The sequence below is a fragment of the Homo sapiens genome, chromosome 12 (genome assembly GCF_000001405.40).
Source record: "Homo sapiens chromosome 12, GRCh38.p14 Primary Assembly".
NCBI classification, from domain to species: Eukaryota; Metazoa; Chordata; class Mammalia; order Primates; family Hominidae; genus Homo; species Homo sapiens.
In genome coordinates this window covers 101,307,935-101,323,711 of record NC_000012.12, presented here as the reverse complement: position 1 = coordinate 101,323,711, position 15,777 = coordinate 101,307,935, and the positions used below count along the sequence as shown (strand labels likewise).

Genomic DNA, 15,777 nt, shown 5'->3' with positions numbered 1-15,777 from the left:
GAATGAGAAGAAAACAGAGAGGAATATTATTTACCTGGTTTTAGAAAATACAAGTTGTCAGACATTAAAAAAAAATTTCATGAGAAAATAAACACAAATGACCCATAATCTTTTAAAACAATTCATCTTCACTAGTAAACCTAAAATATGTGAAGTCATACAACATGATATCATTTATCACTGACAAATTAGCAAGAATTAAAACAATCAAAAAATAATAACAACAAACACCCTAGTGTTGGAATGGTGTGAAACAGGCATCCTACTGCTGGTAGGAATATAAAGTGGTTCAAACTTATGGTTGGAAAGAAGTAGTTCTGAACAACAATTTGGTAATATACACCAAAAAGTTTTAAAATTTTCATCAATTTTCCTATCAAGAATCTATTCTAATCCATCAATCGAATAAGATTTATAGGTATTCAATGTAAGATTTTCTATTTTGCAAAAAAACCAAAATAAACAACAAAAACTACAGACAGGCAAAATGCTCAACACAAGTAAATGACAGCTTGTCTATATGATGAAGAATCACATTTTGAAACATTTCATGATCTAAGAAAATTCTTGTAAAATATTAAGTGAAAAAAGGTTATAAAACGTTTTATAAAATATCATCTCAATTTTCTTTCAAAAACTTGTATGGGTGTATTATTTAGATGTTTTTTGGTAGCTTGTATTCAACTACTCTGGACTTCATACAACCATCTGCTTTTTACTCTTAGAAATTTAAAATATACAAGTATTGCGGATGTTTCCTATTTACTATTGTTTTTGAGATTATAAAGTTGATAGTTATTTTTGAGTGTTTGGATATAAGATGATTTCTGCTTTCTATTTTTATTGTTTCTGTAATCCACCAATAACTGTAATTTTGTATATTCACTTATTCACTCCCTCAAATATTTTTATGTCTATTATAGTAAAGTTCTTAAAGCTTGCTATAAATGGAATCTTAATGCTGGCTACAAATGGAACTAAACAGAGCCATTAGATAAGTGCTAGCAGAGTCCCTGAGCATATCTGAACCAGCTCCTATTAAGGAAACAGAAGCCCAGTGGATCTAAAAGACTTTCTCTATCTGATAGAACTACACAGTAGGGGGCTGGACCAAAAGCAAACCTGTTAAATCCCAATCCCATGATCTTTCCAATTCTCATCATTCCAGAGCTGGTGAGATGAAAGATTTAAGCTTCATTTTTCTTTATACCCAGCATATATAAACTTTGTATTATTTATGGATCATCTTTTTGCTCTACCATTTATAATTAAAGGAATAATAACATCATTAAATATCACATGATATTTGGAAAACAGAGTGAAATATTTCTACTGTATCTCAACAGTAAAATTTAGGAAAATATTAAATTTAATTATATTATTGTCACAATAATACTATGGTAAGATCTTCTTTATATTAGGGCCCAGGCGCAGTGGCTCACGCCTGTAATCCCAGCACTTTGGGAGGCAGAGGCGGGTGGATCGCCTGAGGTCAGGAGTTCAAGACCAGCCTGGCCAACATGGTGAAACTCTTTCTCTACTAAAAATACAAAAATTAGCCAGGCATGGTGGCGCACGCTTGTGATCCCAGCTACTCAGGAGGCTGAGGCACAAGAATAGCTTGAACCTGGGAGGGCGGAGGTTGCAGTGAGCTGAGATCACACCACTGCACTCCAGCCTGGGTGACAGAGCGAGACTCCCTCTAAAAAAAAAATAAATAAAGATCTTTCTTTATGTTAGGAACAAAATTTAGTCTCTATACCAATTTGGCTTCTCCCAAAGGTACAATTCAAAAAAAAAGCAGCTGGCGGTGATGGCTCACATTTGTAATCTTAGCACGTTGGGAGGCCAAGGTGGGAGCATCACTTGAGCCTGGGAGGTCTAGGCTGCAATGAGCTGTGATCATGCCACTGCACTCCAGCCTGGGTGACAGAGCAAGACCCCATCTCCAAAGAAAATGCAATCAAAAGAAAATAGAAAATGAAATATTCTATTACAGTTGTTGAAAGAACCATAATACTGTACTCACAATTGTGTTTGTTATTAACTTTTTAAAAATCAGTGTTTGAACAGCATAAATACCTCATCAGAATAGGAAATAGATCTGCTCGGTGGGCTGTTTTCACTACAGCATTATCTTCTGAAATGCTAAAATGCACTATCTCTTCCTTAAAGCTTCTGTCTTCAAGCAACCTTTGTAAGTTTTCCCTTTAAAAACAGAGAACAGCACAAATCACCACTTTATCAACAGTGCTTTTGAATAATGAAAGAGTGAAATATGTACACAGAGTAATAACTAAAATAAGGTATATAGTACATATTATGGTTGATATCCATAAAGGAAAATCCTCAAAAAAATCTCCTAAAATGACAGATTTGTACATTTCAAAAGGTATAACGGATTAGAAAAGATTAGATTCTGTCCATAACTCAGCTGTTTAAAAAAGCATGATACAAAAAGCTTTCCTCAGTTCTTAGAGTGACTTTGATTCTCTAAGTAACCACCAAGATTCTATGGCATTATATTAATAAGAAGAGGAAAATGACATAATATTTACAACACAGTTTTAAAATTAACATTCTCTATTTTAGTATCATGGAGAACAACCCAACAAATATACTACTCGTTTTCATTTCTTGCTTGGAAATACGATGACCTCAGAAAAAAGGGAAACTTTCTAGGCCTTTAATAAATTATTCTAGAAGAGGCTCTTAGGCAGAAATATAAAAATCAGCTGAAGAAATAACAGTTCTTTAAGCTTCAAGTAACTTACCTGTAAGGGAGGACATGAGGATGTTTATATGTCATTATGCAATCCAAGGTTATTTTTTGCACCATTTGATCTTGGTGTAGCAACAACTAAGAACAGTATTTTACAGAATTAATGAAGTCATATATACATATACCATAGGATAGCAATTTACTTGTGGTTATTTGCTAAATGAGATTTGAAAAATTCTAAATTTTTACACAAGACCTAAACCTGATTGCTAACAACAGCTTCACATTTTCCTGGAAGTAAAAAAAGATGAACAGAATATATGCAAAGTAAAAATGGAAACAAAACTCTCTGACACCTGCATCCCACAGTCATACCCTGGGGTCTACCAGCTTTTGGGTGAGGCCAATCCTCTCTCTCTTTCTCTTTTTTTTTTCAAACAGAGTCTTGCTCTGTTTTCCAGGCTGGAGTGCAGTGATACGATCTCGACTCACTGCAACCTCTGCCTCCTGGGTTCAAACGATTCTCCTGCCTCAGCCTCCCGAGAAGCTGGAACCACAGGCACCCACCACCACACTTGGCTAATTTTTTTGTTTTTGGTAGAGACGCAGTTTCACCATGTTACCCAGGCTGGTCTCGAACTCCTGAGCTCAGGTGATCTGTCCGCCTTGGCCTCCCAAAGTGCTAGGATTACAGGCGTGAGCTACTGTGTGCAGCCTGGTGAGGCCGATTCTCTATGTGAATCTGGATTTAAGCCAACTAGGCTGGTCATGTACTAAGGAAAATCTCTTATCCTATGAAGGTAATGATAGTCAATAAGATGCCAGAAGAAACATCCAAATGAAAAATGAAAATTTTGTTTCCCCAGATGGCTTAGAATTACATCCAATGCTTACTTCATTTCTGATATTAATTTTTTTCTGCAAGCTTATCTGAAATTCAGGGCCACGTAATTATGACTGCAATGGACTACAATAGATCCTGAAATCCCAGTCCTCTATGAAGTCTGACTAAACTAGAAGGGAAAAGTAGTCACTTGTTTTTTTGTATAAACCCTACTCCCTTCTAAAAGCTAATTTCCATGATATAATTCATGCTTTGCTATTCTCACTGTTGACACAGCCAATCAATGTTTAGTCACCCAAAATGCCTTCAAAATCAGCTAAGTTAGTGCTAAAACTGTTTCTCAAGATAACAGAAAATATGTCTATTAATTAAAAAAAAAAAGGCTTTAATACTTAAAATGTAGACATGGGCCCTATTCAGCAATTATTGAAAATCTAAGCTACTCTGACAAAGAAAATGATAGAGAAAAGTTCACAAAGAATTATAATGCCAAGAGTTTATTTTACTGACCTGAAGATATAACTCATATAGTTTGGATTCCAGATATAAGGCCCGTGGATTTGAAAATTTAGAGAAAACTTGCAAATGAGCAATTAATTGCCTAAACAAAAACAAAACAGAGAGTGTTACAGAATTAAAGAATTGAGATCATTTTCTTAAACTGACATCTACAATTTTATTCTGACTAGAACTTCAAACACCCCGCCTATAGTTTCACTATTATATAAACAAGGCTTAGTTATTTACATTTAGGAAATTATTCTCCAGAAATCCCATATTTTGGGCAGGCCTGTCCCTAAAATTCAGGTTCTCCACACCAAAAAATCATTCAGTGTGTGCTCAGAATGGTTTAAATTGAACAAAAATTAGAAAGTAACCAAACTAGTAAAATATTCCAAAATTAAACTCAGATGATTTTTGGAATTATTCCTTGTCTAGGTTCTATGTGGCAGACAGGAAAGTAGTAGAATATATTCTCCCTCACTTTATTATAATGTAAATACAGATGTCAGGCAACAGAGGTCCAGGTTAAGGCAACCAATGGCTGTTGCTCACCAACAAGGAAGAAGAAATATATCTGAATATTTTCAGACTGTGGTTGACCATGGGTAACTGAAATCGTGGGAAGTGAAACCATGGATAAGGGGAGAGTATTGTATAGTGACATGAAGGCTGGCCATAATCTTTCCTGCCCCTGTGCTTCATACACTATTTCTGTTAGTGGACAAGACTTTCTTGGTTCTAGCTGTCTGGCAAACTTTCATCTTTCAGCATCAGAGAGCCTTCCCTGGGTCTTTTTTTTTTTTTTTTTTTCAAGATGGAGTCTCAATCTGTGGCCCAGGCTGGAGTGCAGTGGCACAACCACGGCTCACAGCAACCTCTGCCTCCTGGGTTCAAGTGATTCTCTTACCTCAGCCTCCCAAGTAGCTGGGATTACAGGCGTGCACCACCATGCCTGACTAATTTTTATATTTTCAGTAGAGACAGCGTTTTACCATGTTGGCCAGGCTGGTCTCAAACTCCTAACCTCAAGTGATCCACCCACCTCGGCCTCCCAAAGTGCTGGGATTACAGGTGTGAGCCACCACGCCTGGAATTCCTTACTGTGCTCCAATAACTTCTTTAAAAATATTTCTCCTATAAAAATATTTCACCCAGGCAGGATTGACTATGACTCCTGCATTGCAGTGGCTCTGTACAATTTATCTCTGCACACCAGCACTTAGCAAAGGGTACTCAATACAGTTGTTGAATGGATGAACTAATAAATGGCTCAGGGGAAATACGCAACAAATGGGCATATCAGATTGAGATCTAAAGTGTTAAAATAATATTTGCACCAATCCAGTGGACCTGAGACACTCAATTCAGACAATCATCAAGTAAGCTGAAGTAACTTCTAAAAGCATGATCACTTCTTCTTTTAGGTTTCTAACAATTTAGGTAAATGAACAACTAAAAGAATAAGAAAGAGAGTATAACAACAGCATGAGAAAAAAGTAACCAGTAGAAGGCAAGTTAAAAGGCAGAGAAAAGTGCTAACAGGATGGTGGGGAAGGTGGGTGGAAGGAAAAAAAAATTGCTAACATGCTTATTTTTAAGAAAAAGGATGTTCCATTACATGTTCCCCTAGCATGCAAACACAATACCCTCACGCTGGGAAAGTGCACGACAAAGGTCAAAAGAATATCCAAACACTCCAGGTCCCAAAGTTCTCATCTATAAAAAGGAGCTACAATTAGATGACTCTCAAAAGTCCCCCAATCTAACATTATGTAGCTAACCAAGAAAAAACTAATAAGTAATCAACCAAAAAACTTGGAAGCCTGACAGTTTTAGGCTGTTAAAGAAAATCCCAGGAAGATGTAGCGCTTACGTAAATAATTATCTGAGTAGTTGATTTTGTATAAAGCCGTAAGAGACCTCTTCCTGTTCCTCCCAGAACTGTGGATCTGTGATCTTTCAGCAATGGTGAACTTACTTTGCTGCAGCTCTCCTCGTCTTTTTCTTCTGTGAGGATTCATCTTGGGGCACTGCCTCTTCCTCCAACTCTTCATCATCTCCTGCGGCAGGTTCCTCTTCGATTTCCTCTGCCACCATCCCTTTGCCTTTTCTCCGTAGATCCTGGGTTGGAGCAACTTGCAGATCTGCTGGGTAATACTCATTGCTACCGTGGAAAGAAAGTCACAGGATACTGATGAAGAACGCACACCAATCTGAAAGGTGCTGATTCTGTTCATGAGAGATGTCCACAGTTCACAGAATCACACACTGAAGAGACATAGTGGTACCTTAGGCAAGCTTCCACAATATTACTCTTTCCTAACTTGGTCCTTCTTTAGTATGCTATTTGACAAGCGATTCACTAACTGTAGAAGATAGCCCATTCCACTGTTATACTGTTGAAAATATTTGAAATGTCTATTTTGGACTAAGTGGAAATCAGCCTCCCTGTCTCTGGAACCACCACTGGGGGATGAGGGGTTAGGGATGGATGATATTAAATGATTAAAGTATAGCATTAGGACTGTGCTGGTCACTTTCCATCAGATACATTCTACTTTGCCAAAGTTCTCTTGAAAATATAGTACCACCACAAAATTTAGTCCTCCAGGTATGGATTGATAAGACAGATGGAACTACCATCTCCAGAACTTTTTTGAGCAGCCACAACATGACAAAGATTGAAACTGAATGTCCATGTAATGAAAATCAGTGAGTCTTTATGTTTTATCTCTCTAAACTAAGCTTGTGCAGCTAAGCTTAATACAGTATTCACTTTGTTCTTATTAAATTTCATCCTTTATTTTTAGTCCAATGTTGCAATTAATGAATATTATCTTGAAGTCTGTCATTTAATGCATTAGTTTATGTCACTTTCATTCACTCACCCAAACAATTAACCTTTTGTTGTCTATTGAATGCAGGGCACTGGGCTAAAGATGCTAGGAAACTGATTGGATGGCCTTTCAAGTCCTCACTCAAAAACACACTGATAAAATAACATGTTTGAGGACAGCACCCTACCAACCCTCCTAAAAGAAACTCTAGCTTAGCCCAAGTTAACCTCCAGATCGATAACACTAAACTACAATCTGAGGGCTGGGACACTGTGGTACTTGGTATTTTCATCTGGCAGAATCTAGCACTTAATAAATCAAAAAATGGATGAATGAAACAAGTAAAGTTTCTATAAGTTACAAACTGCACCATCATCCACTTAATATCATACCTATTATACTTACAACATTCAATTAACCACACATTACATACTGTAACCTTTATCTCCGTGAACAGCATGTTCACTCATTCATTTATTAAATAAAACAATTCACACAAAGCATCCATAAGAGTGTCCAGCACACAGTGAGTACTCACTAAATGTCACCTTTTATTGGGATGCTGTTGCCATTGTTAGTCATTCGTTCTTGTTCCTGGTTTGGTTCGTCTCAGAGAATGTTTACAAGGGATTCACAAATTAGTTCTAATACCAAATTAATTGAAACATATTTAGAAATATAAATTGCTAGCCAAAAAATAAAAAGCCTGTAATATACTTCAAAGTCAGAATTAAAGGTGACATTTGGGTTTTCCATTAGTTCGGATCATCTATAAATGTATTATTTATAGGTAATCCATGCCAACCAGTATTAAACGTTCCTTAGAATTGTGTATCTTTAGTCTCTAAATCTTTCTAAACTCAGAGACCCACTCCCTGTTACAGGCTCCTGTTTCTACCTCTACCCCACAGCATCTTGTACCATTAGACTAAGATCTTATCCTTAAGCCGTGGGGTAAACTAATTCTTTAGGGAAAAACTTGGAAAATTAACATGGTATGAAGTTTATATGCTACTAACACCATAAATGCCAGCTGGCATATGTACAGCCCTTGCAGTTCAAAAAACTGATAAGTGTTATTTTATATAACCCTCAAAACAAAGCAAAAAAAGCTAAACATCATTCTTATTCTATAAATTTATGCCCAAAGAATTATTTGAAAAAGAGAAAATCATTGCTTTTCTGCCACTATATCTACTGACCTGCTATATCTTTGCTTGTGCCTTGCCAGAATGAATTATCCATGCAAACCTTTGAATTTATGTACTGTATCCATCTCCTCTTACCTATTTGAAGACATGGTTCTAGCCTTTTTTTTTTTTAGACGGAATCTCGCTCTGTCACCCAGGCTGGAGTGCAGTGGCACAATCTCAGCTCATTGCAACCTCTGCCTCCTGGGTTCAAGCGATTCTTCTGCCTCAGCCTCCTGAGTAGCTGGGACTACAGGTGCATGCCACCAGGCCCGGCTAATTTTTGTATTTTTGGTAGAGACAGGGTTTCACCATATTGGCCAGGCTGATCTTGAAACCCTGATCTCATGATCTGCCCACCTCGGCCCCCCAAAGTGCTGGGATTACAGGTGTGAGCCACCGTGCCTGGCCAGTTCTAGCCATTTTATCCTTTCTTGCATTACCAATTTTCCCCTCCCGTCTGGATCACTTGCACTGGTATCACATACACACACAGTTAAGTCTTTTTTTGGGAGCAGAGACAAAGTCTCGTTCTGTCTCTGTTGCCCAGGTTGGAGTGCCGTGGCACGATCTCGGCTCACTGCAACCTCTGCCTCCGGGTTCATGTGATTCTCCTGCCTCAGCCTCCCAAATAGCTGGGACTTACAGGCAGGCACCACCATGCCCAGCTAATTTTTGTATTTTTAGTAGAGACGGGATTTCACTAGGCTGGTCTCGAACTCCTGACCTCATGTGATCTGCCCACCTAGGCCTCTCAAAGTGCTGGGATTATAGGTGTGAGCCACTGTGCCCAGCCAACACTGTTAAGTCTTAACCCCAACGACAACAGCTCCCTCTCTGCCCCGGCATTTCCCTCCACCTACATCCCTATGTCTGTTTCTTTTTTACTACAAAAACTGTCCAAACTTGCTGTTTTCATTTTTCTTTTCCTCTTTCTTGAGCTTCTTTTTTTTTTTTGAGACAGAGTCTCGCTCTGTCGCCCAGGCTGGAGTGCAGTGACACAATTTTGGCTCACTGCAACCTCCACCTCCCGGGTTCACGCCATTCTCCTGCCTCAGCCTCCCGAGTAGCTGGGACTACAGGCACCCACCACCACGCCTAGCTAATTTTTTGTATTTTTAGTACAGACAGGGTTTCACCGTGTTAGCCAGGATGGTCTCGATCTCCTGACCTTGTGATCCACCAGCCTCGGCCTCCCAAAGTGCTGGGATTACAGGCATGAGCCACTGCACCCAGCCAAGCTTATTTTAATTAGGCTGTCATCCCTATCAGATTAATCAAAACAACTCATTAAGGTCACCTTCATGTGGGTCACTCTGACTAAGGTCACTCCAAAGCCAACGGTCACTTTATTCCTCACCTGATGGACTTTTCAGACACATCTGAGTCAACTGTTTACTGCCGCCTTTAGTCTCTTCACTTGATTTCCAGGATAGCAAGTGGTCTTTCTTCTTTTATCACTCTTTCCTGGCTTCCTTTGCTGGTTCCTTATCTCCCAACTTCTAAATATTGGTATCAGTCCCTGAAAGTCTTTTCTCTCTACAGTCACACTCTAGATGACTTTATTCCGTATCTGATCATTTAAAATACCATCCATATATTGATAATTTCCAATTTGTTATCTCCAGATCAAACCTTTCCCTTGAGCTTTGAACTTCTAAATTAAATGCCTCTCTACATGACAACTCTACTTGGTTATTTATTCAGTGTCCTAAACTTAAAACATCTAAAAATGAACTTTTAATTCTCCCCCACAGACCTGCAACTCCTGCATTCCTCCTATCTCAGTAAATGAGAACTTTCTTCTAGTTGCTCAGGCCAAAGCCTTAGGGAACATCCTTGATTCTGTCCCTCCCCCATTCCTTCCCTCCCTCCTTCCTGTCCCACTCCCCACCACACACACCCGTCCCACATCTGATCTGCTGGCAAATCTCACAGGCTGATCTAGTTGCAACCTTTCATAAATGTTATCTTATCGAATTGAAATCATTCAAAAAATACCCATCTTCACTGCTATAACTTTGGTTAAGTCGCCATCACTTCTTGCTTGGACTTGCAATCTCCTCATGACTGGTCTCTCTACTCTCACCAATGTCATTCTACAGTCTATTCTCAACACAGCAGCCATAAAAATCCTTAAGAAAACTTAGGTCAGGTCAGCCTTCTGCTTAAACCTCCAAATGGCTTCTCATTTCACCAAAAGTAAGAGCCAAAGTCCTTCCTATCACTTAAAGGCCTACACACTTTCATCTCCTGCTGACTTTCTGCCCTCATCTCCAACCATGTCCTCCCTGGATCATTCTGCTAGAACCACTCAGATCTTGCTGTTCATTGAACAAGCCAGGCATGTTGTGGTTTATGGCCTGCTTGACCTAACCCTACAGCATTTTCCCAGGAAACTACTATAGGAAAACATGCTTTTTATGTATTACTTAATAATGTTCTGCACACCACACCCCTCATCTTTAGTTTTAATACAATCAGACTCTCACATAGCATATCCAGTTAAAACAAAACAATGCTCCAGAAAACTCTTGTTATTCCTCAGCATCATAGGCAGAAACATCAAGAGGCCCCAAGCAGTGTTGCTGTTGGGTCACTGGAAAATACCTTCAAGCCCCAGGCAGGCAATAAAATAATGAATAACAGGGCAAGAAATAATAAGGCCTTTCTACATGAATCAAACTCAGTGTGGCCCTTCTTATACTGTAACCCGGAATTTTTTATTAATACCACTGGTGTGCTGGTTAAATTTTGATTTAGATCAAAATCAAATGGTGAACTAAACTAGTTTAGTTGTTATCTGATAGAGCCAGTGCTTTGTAGCTGTGCCAATGATTTGAAAACGTGACAGATGTATAAAGAACTCAGCCTAGGCTGGGCGTGGTGGCTCACGCCTGTAATCCCAGCACTTTGGGAAGCCGAGGTGGGTGGATCACCTGAGGTCAGGAGTTCAAGAACAGCCTGACCAACATGGAGAAACCCCGTCTGTACTAAAAATACAAAATTAGCCAGGCGTGATGGCGCATGCCTGTGCCCAGCTACTCTGGGAGACTGAGGCAGGAGAATCGCTTGAATCTGGGAGGTGAAGGTTGCAGTGAGCCGAGATCGCACCACTGCACCCCTGGGCAACAAGAGCAAAACTCTGTCTAAAAACAAAACAAAACAAAACAAAAACAAAAACAAACAAACAAAAAATACCTCAGCCTAATGGATGATTGGAAGCAGAAAGAAAGAAGGCAAAAAACAAAGAACTCAGCCACTTTGGGAGGTTAATACTTCTCACATTCTCTTCTTCATGCCCCACCAGGGACATATTCTTAGAAGAGGAAACTTACTTGATAAATCTCAAGAAAAGCGGGGAAAGCTCCCTGGACCGTGGCTCTACTCTTTCTGGGAATTTGGTCAGAGCTCTCCAGAGCAGGAATCTGAAGTTGGTGTGGTCAAGTCTTTCCTGACAGTCAGTTTTCAATGCTAACTGCTCATGATAAAGAGCTCCAACATCTCCTTCCTGGGTCTGCTCCCAACTTTCATCTCCAACGGACTTCTCATCTGTCATATCATTCTGTAGTTCCTTCTCTGCAAGAAAGAAAGTTGTCATAACCACCAGACAAATATCAACATTTATCTTAAGTGTTTTCTCAAGAGAGGGCATTTCTTTCTCTATAATGTAAGGAAAGAATGTCACTCCCAAAAGTTATCATGATAATATATGTTTCATCTCTGTTTTCCAATTTCGTGAGTAATTAAGCAATAAAAACAAAACAGTTAAACAACCACTTTTCTTCGCAGCTTCCTCACAACCCCTTTACATACCAGCATGCGTAGCTGCTTTTTCTAGATGCTCATAGTAGACTTTCCAAAATTGCTTATTTTCCATTTCGTGTGCATGAGAACTAAGGGAAAAAAAAAATCACAAAATAAAAAGTGTGGTATGGCCATTTTAAGATTGCTCATAGAAAAAAAAAAAAGAGTGAAAGGATATAACTAAAATGTCAATTAGGTTATCCCTCAATGTGGAGTCGTAAACACCTTTTGCACTTTTCTATATTTTTCAAAATGCCTGCACTGAGCACAAATCATTTTTATAGTCATAAAGCACTAAAGAGTATTTTTAAAAATATAAGTAGATCCTTAAGAGAAAATCATTTTTAAAGGCACACTGATGAAACTGGGGCATGGGGCATGAATAAGATCCATTAAGAGAAGAAGGGGCCCTCTGGAGAGAAAAGTCAGTTTGTTCAAAACTAACTTAAAAATAATTAGTTTCCCTCCACCAAATTTAAATATACTTATTAACACAAAGACAAAATAAACATTCACTAACTACATGAAACAACTTTTCAGAACTTAAAAGGAGACATTAGATGGATCACATAAAGTGCTTATGTAGTTTGATATCCTAGCAACAATACTCTCAAATATTCTATCACTAATTTTCTAAGAATATGCATAAACTTTACACATGACATGTATTATATATGTTGGGAACTGACTCTACTCAGAAAACAAACCAACAGGTATGTTGTTGTTTCTATCCTTCCAAACAGAAAGAGGTACCCAACAGGAAGACAGCCCAGCCACTAGGGAGAATGCCTCATGGCATTCAGTAATTAAAGAACCAACACTGTTGATAGTGTGCTACTGGTAATATGTATGTCAAATTCTCTCTTCTGAAAGTGTAATAAACAAAATAATGAAGCTGATGTTGGGAGAATCTTGCTTTTGGCACACTGGTTTTGATGGCTTTGAAAGGTAGTAAAAGGTAGACAAATTGTAGTAAAAGGTAGACAAGGGTAGTAAAGGTAGACAAATTAGTTTCAAATTGTAAAGGGATCTGTCTATAAATGTTAACTCTCTTATTCTGTCAAGTAAGAACTAATAACTAATCGTTGGGGTTTTGAAAGGCCTCACACGACATATTTCCAATCTGATAATCTGATAAAAAAAGTGAGTGTGTATTATCTGAAGACAAATGTCTGAAGACAGATTTCTACACATGAGCCATAACATGTATTTTTTTTTTTTTTTTTTTTTGGGAGACAGAGTTTCACTCTTGTTGCCCAGGCTGGAGTGCAATGGTGCAATCTCGGCTCACCACAGCCTCCACCTCCCAGGTTCAAGTGATTCTCCTGCCTCAGCCTCCTGAGTCGCTAGCATTACAGGAATGTGCCACCATGACTGGCTAATTTTGTATTTTTAGTAGAAATGGTGTTTCTCCATGTTGGTCAGGCTGGTCTCGAACTCCCGACCTCAGGTGATCCACCTGCCTCAGCCGCCCAAAGTGCTGGGATTACAGGCATGAGTCACCGTGCCCGGCCTATAACATGTATTTTCTATGTGACCACTGAAGACATTTTGGGGCTAAAGGGATTTTGGATGCTAGACAGCAAGGTTTTGAAAAAGTCTTTATTTTTAAAGTATGGCTCAATGACTCAAAATATAGAAATAAAATTATGCAATTATTATACTTCCTTGCTGTAACAAATTTTAATAACACAAAAGTATCATAAAAAGCAAAAAGAGAAACTCCTTCAAAGTTATTTCAACACACAAAGAGACACACGTATAATATTGGAACTACTGAAGATGTGGCATCAGAGAGAATAATTCATGTTTATTTTTAATTTACCTTGTCTCACAAAGGATTTAAAGTACTGTAAATACCATATACACCCATTCATTTAAATCACACCCAGAAGGAGAATAATCTGGGCCCCATCATTCTGCAGTAGTTAAAGTATAATAGTTTCATCCCATTTAACCCATGTTTACCTTATGAGTTCAATAACAGGATCCCAGAGTGCACTGAAATTAATATATAGCATGCCTAACAAATAACGAAGCGGCACCTGCAATTACAAAAGACTAGTTTAGTATTGGGTAATGAAATACAGTATAGAACAGAAGTACTGAAATGCAAACATCCCAAGTTGGACAACCTGAGGTTTGGAAAGAAGCCTGTGCGATAAGAAAAAAAGTTGCAGGCACCAATCCAAAATTCAATGTATACTAATTTTCCTCTTCTCCCCAAAATGTCACTCACTATTTAAAATAGAAGAATCGCTACAGCAAACATAGTATTCAAATTCACTCCAGGTATTCATTCATTTAAATGAACAGATTTGACTAATGATTAAACTCCCTTCTAACAAATGTTGCTGTCACCAGATTAAGACAAAACTTCAACAGCAGTCAGAAATGCACACATGCCGAAGAACGCAAGGAAACATGCTGTGAATGACTGAGGCTTTGCAAGTTCAGTAAAAGGGTCTAAAGTTTCCCGGTCACCTTTTGGAATAAGGGTCATTATTACTAACATTCCCATGTGCTAGGGAGGCACCATCCAGACTGGTAGTTTTATTATTATTTAGGGATGGGGTGTTTGTATATATTCTAGAAGCAGTCTTTTTTCCAAATGAAACAGAAGTATATTTATATACCTAATTTATAAAACAGGTAAGAGAAGAACTGCTCTGACTGAAGGGAGAATGCCTCCTTTTGGCCTTACTCCCAAAGAGGTCTGTGATGTATCTTCAAGGGTCATGGAATGAAAACCCTGATATAAAACATAGAGGGCTGGGCCGGGCGCAGTGGCTCACGCCTGTAATCCCAGCACTTTGGGACGCCGAGGAGGGCGGATCACGAGGTCAGGAGATCAAGACCATCCTGGCTAACACGGTGAAACCCCATCTCTACGAAAAATACAAAAAAATTAGCCAGGTGTGGTGGCATGCACCTGTAGTTCCAGCAACTCGGGAGGCTGAGGCAGGAGAATGGTGTGAACCCGGGAGGCTGAGCTTGCAGTGAGCAGAGATTGCGCCACTGCACTCCAGCCTGGGTGACAGAGCGAGACTCCATCTCCAAAAAAAAAAAAAAACATAGAGAGCTGATGTTCTGCAGCAGCAAACAAATCTAGTGAAGAAGAGCAAGCTTTAAACCTGACATTAAATCCTGTTGCCACTACCTACCTACCTACCTGCGTCACTCAGGTTCAATGAGCCCCTGCTTACTCATTTCTAAAAAGGTACTAACATGGCCAGGTACAGTGGCTCATGCCTGAAACAGAGAATACTAAATTATTCCTGCTACTTAAAAAAGCTGGTAGAGCTGTTTAACTCAAAGCATCTAAGAGAACTGGGGATTTCCCTTATTATTTTTAAATTATTATTATTATTATTATTATTATTTTGGTGACTACTTGATGTGCTTCCCCAAACAGGATTTAAAGCATGAATTAAAAAGGAAAAATAAAAGAACACTATTTTTACCTCCTGTAACGGCCCATCAGGGACAGCAGTCTGTACCACATCATGTCTTAGTTTTCTCAAATGAAGAAGCTTCTCTCTATAATCATTCACAGTTGCTGGAACAAGTTCTGCCTGGCGTAATATAGCAAAGACAGACTGCCGCTCTGAGAGCCCATCATCCTGAATAACCAGAGAAAACCATGGAGAAGACCAGTCAGTATTTTGATTTTCCAAAAAGAACATTAAATGTGACCAAAGGTCTAAAAATAGAAAAACTGGAATATGTTAATATTTTTAATGAAATAAGTAACACTTTTTTTTTTGGTAAATGATTCTTTTCTCCCCATACCATTTACTTCTTGGTAGATAATTTAGTGTCTAGTGCATAAATGACAACTAAACAACAGGAAAATCATTCTCAAGTCACTCA

The 15,777-nt window shown here is 38.7% G+C and overlaps 1 protein-coding gene across 1 annotated transcript in view; it reads right to left on the bottom strand.

The window, feature by feature from the left end:
• Positions 1–15,777, bottom strand: part of UTP20 (UTP20 small subunit processome component) — a 106,514-nt gene that overhangs the window by 62,907 nt on the left and 27,830 nt on the right. Inside the window, exons 18-25 of the mRNA NM_014503.3 lie at positions 15,369–15,527; positions 13,873–13,949; positions 11,914–11,993; positions 11,436–11,676; positions 6,049–6,234; positions 4,077–4,167; positions 2,775–2,860; positions 2,083–2,208 (exon numbers count right to left, since the gene is read on the bottom strand). Coding sequence (NP_055318.2) covers positions 2,083–2,208; positions 2,775–2,860; positions 4,077–4,167; positions 6,049–6,234; positions 11,436–11,676; positions 11,914–11,993; positions 13,873–13,949; positions 15,369–15,527 — 1,046 coding nt within the window. The remainder of the gene's footprint in view (positions 1–2,082; positions 2,209–2,774; positions 2,861–4,076; positions 4,168–6,048; positions 6,235–11,435; positions 11,677–11,913; positions 11,994–13,872; positions 13,950–15,368; positions 15,528–15,777) is intronic.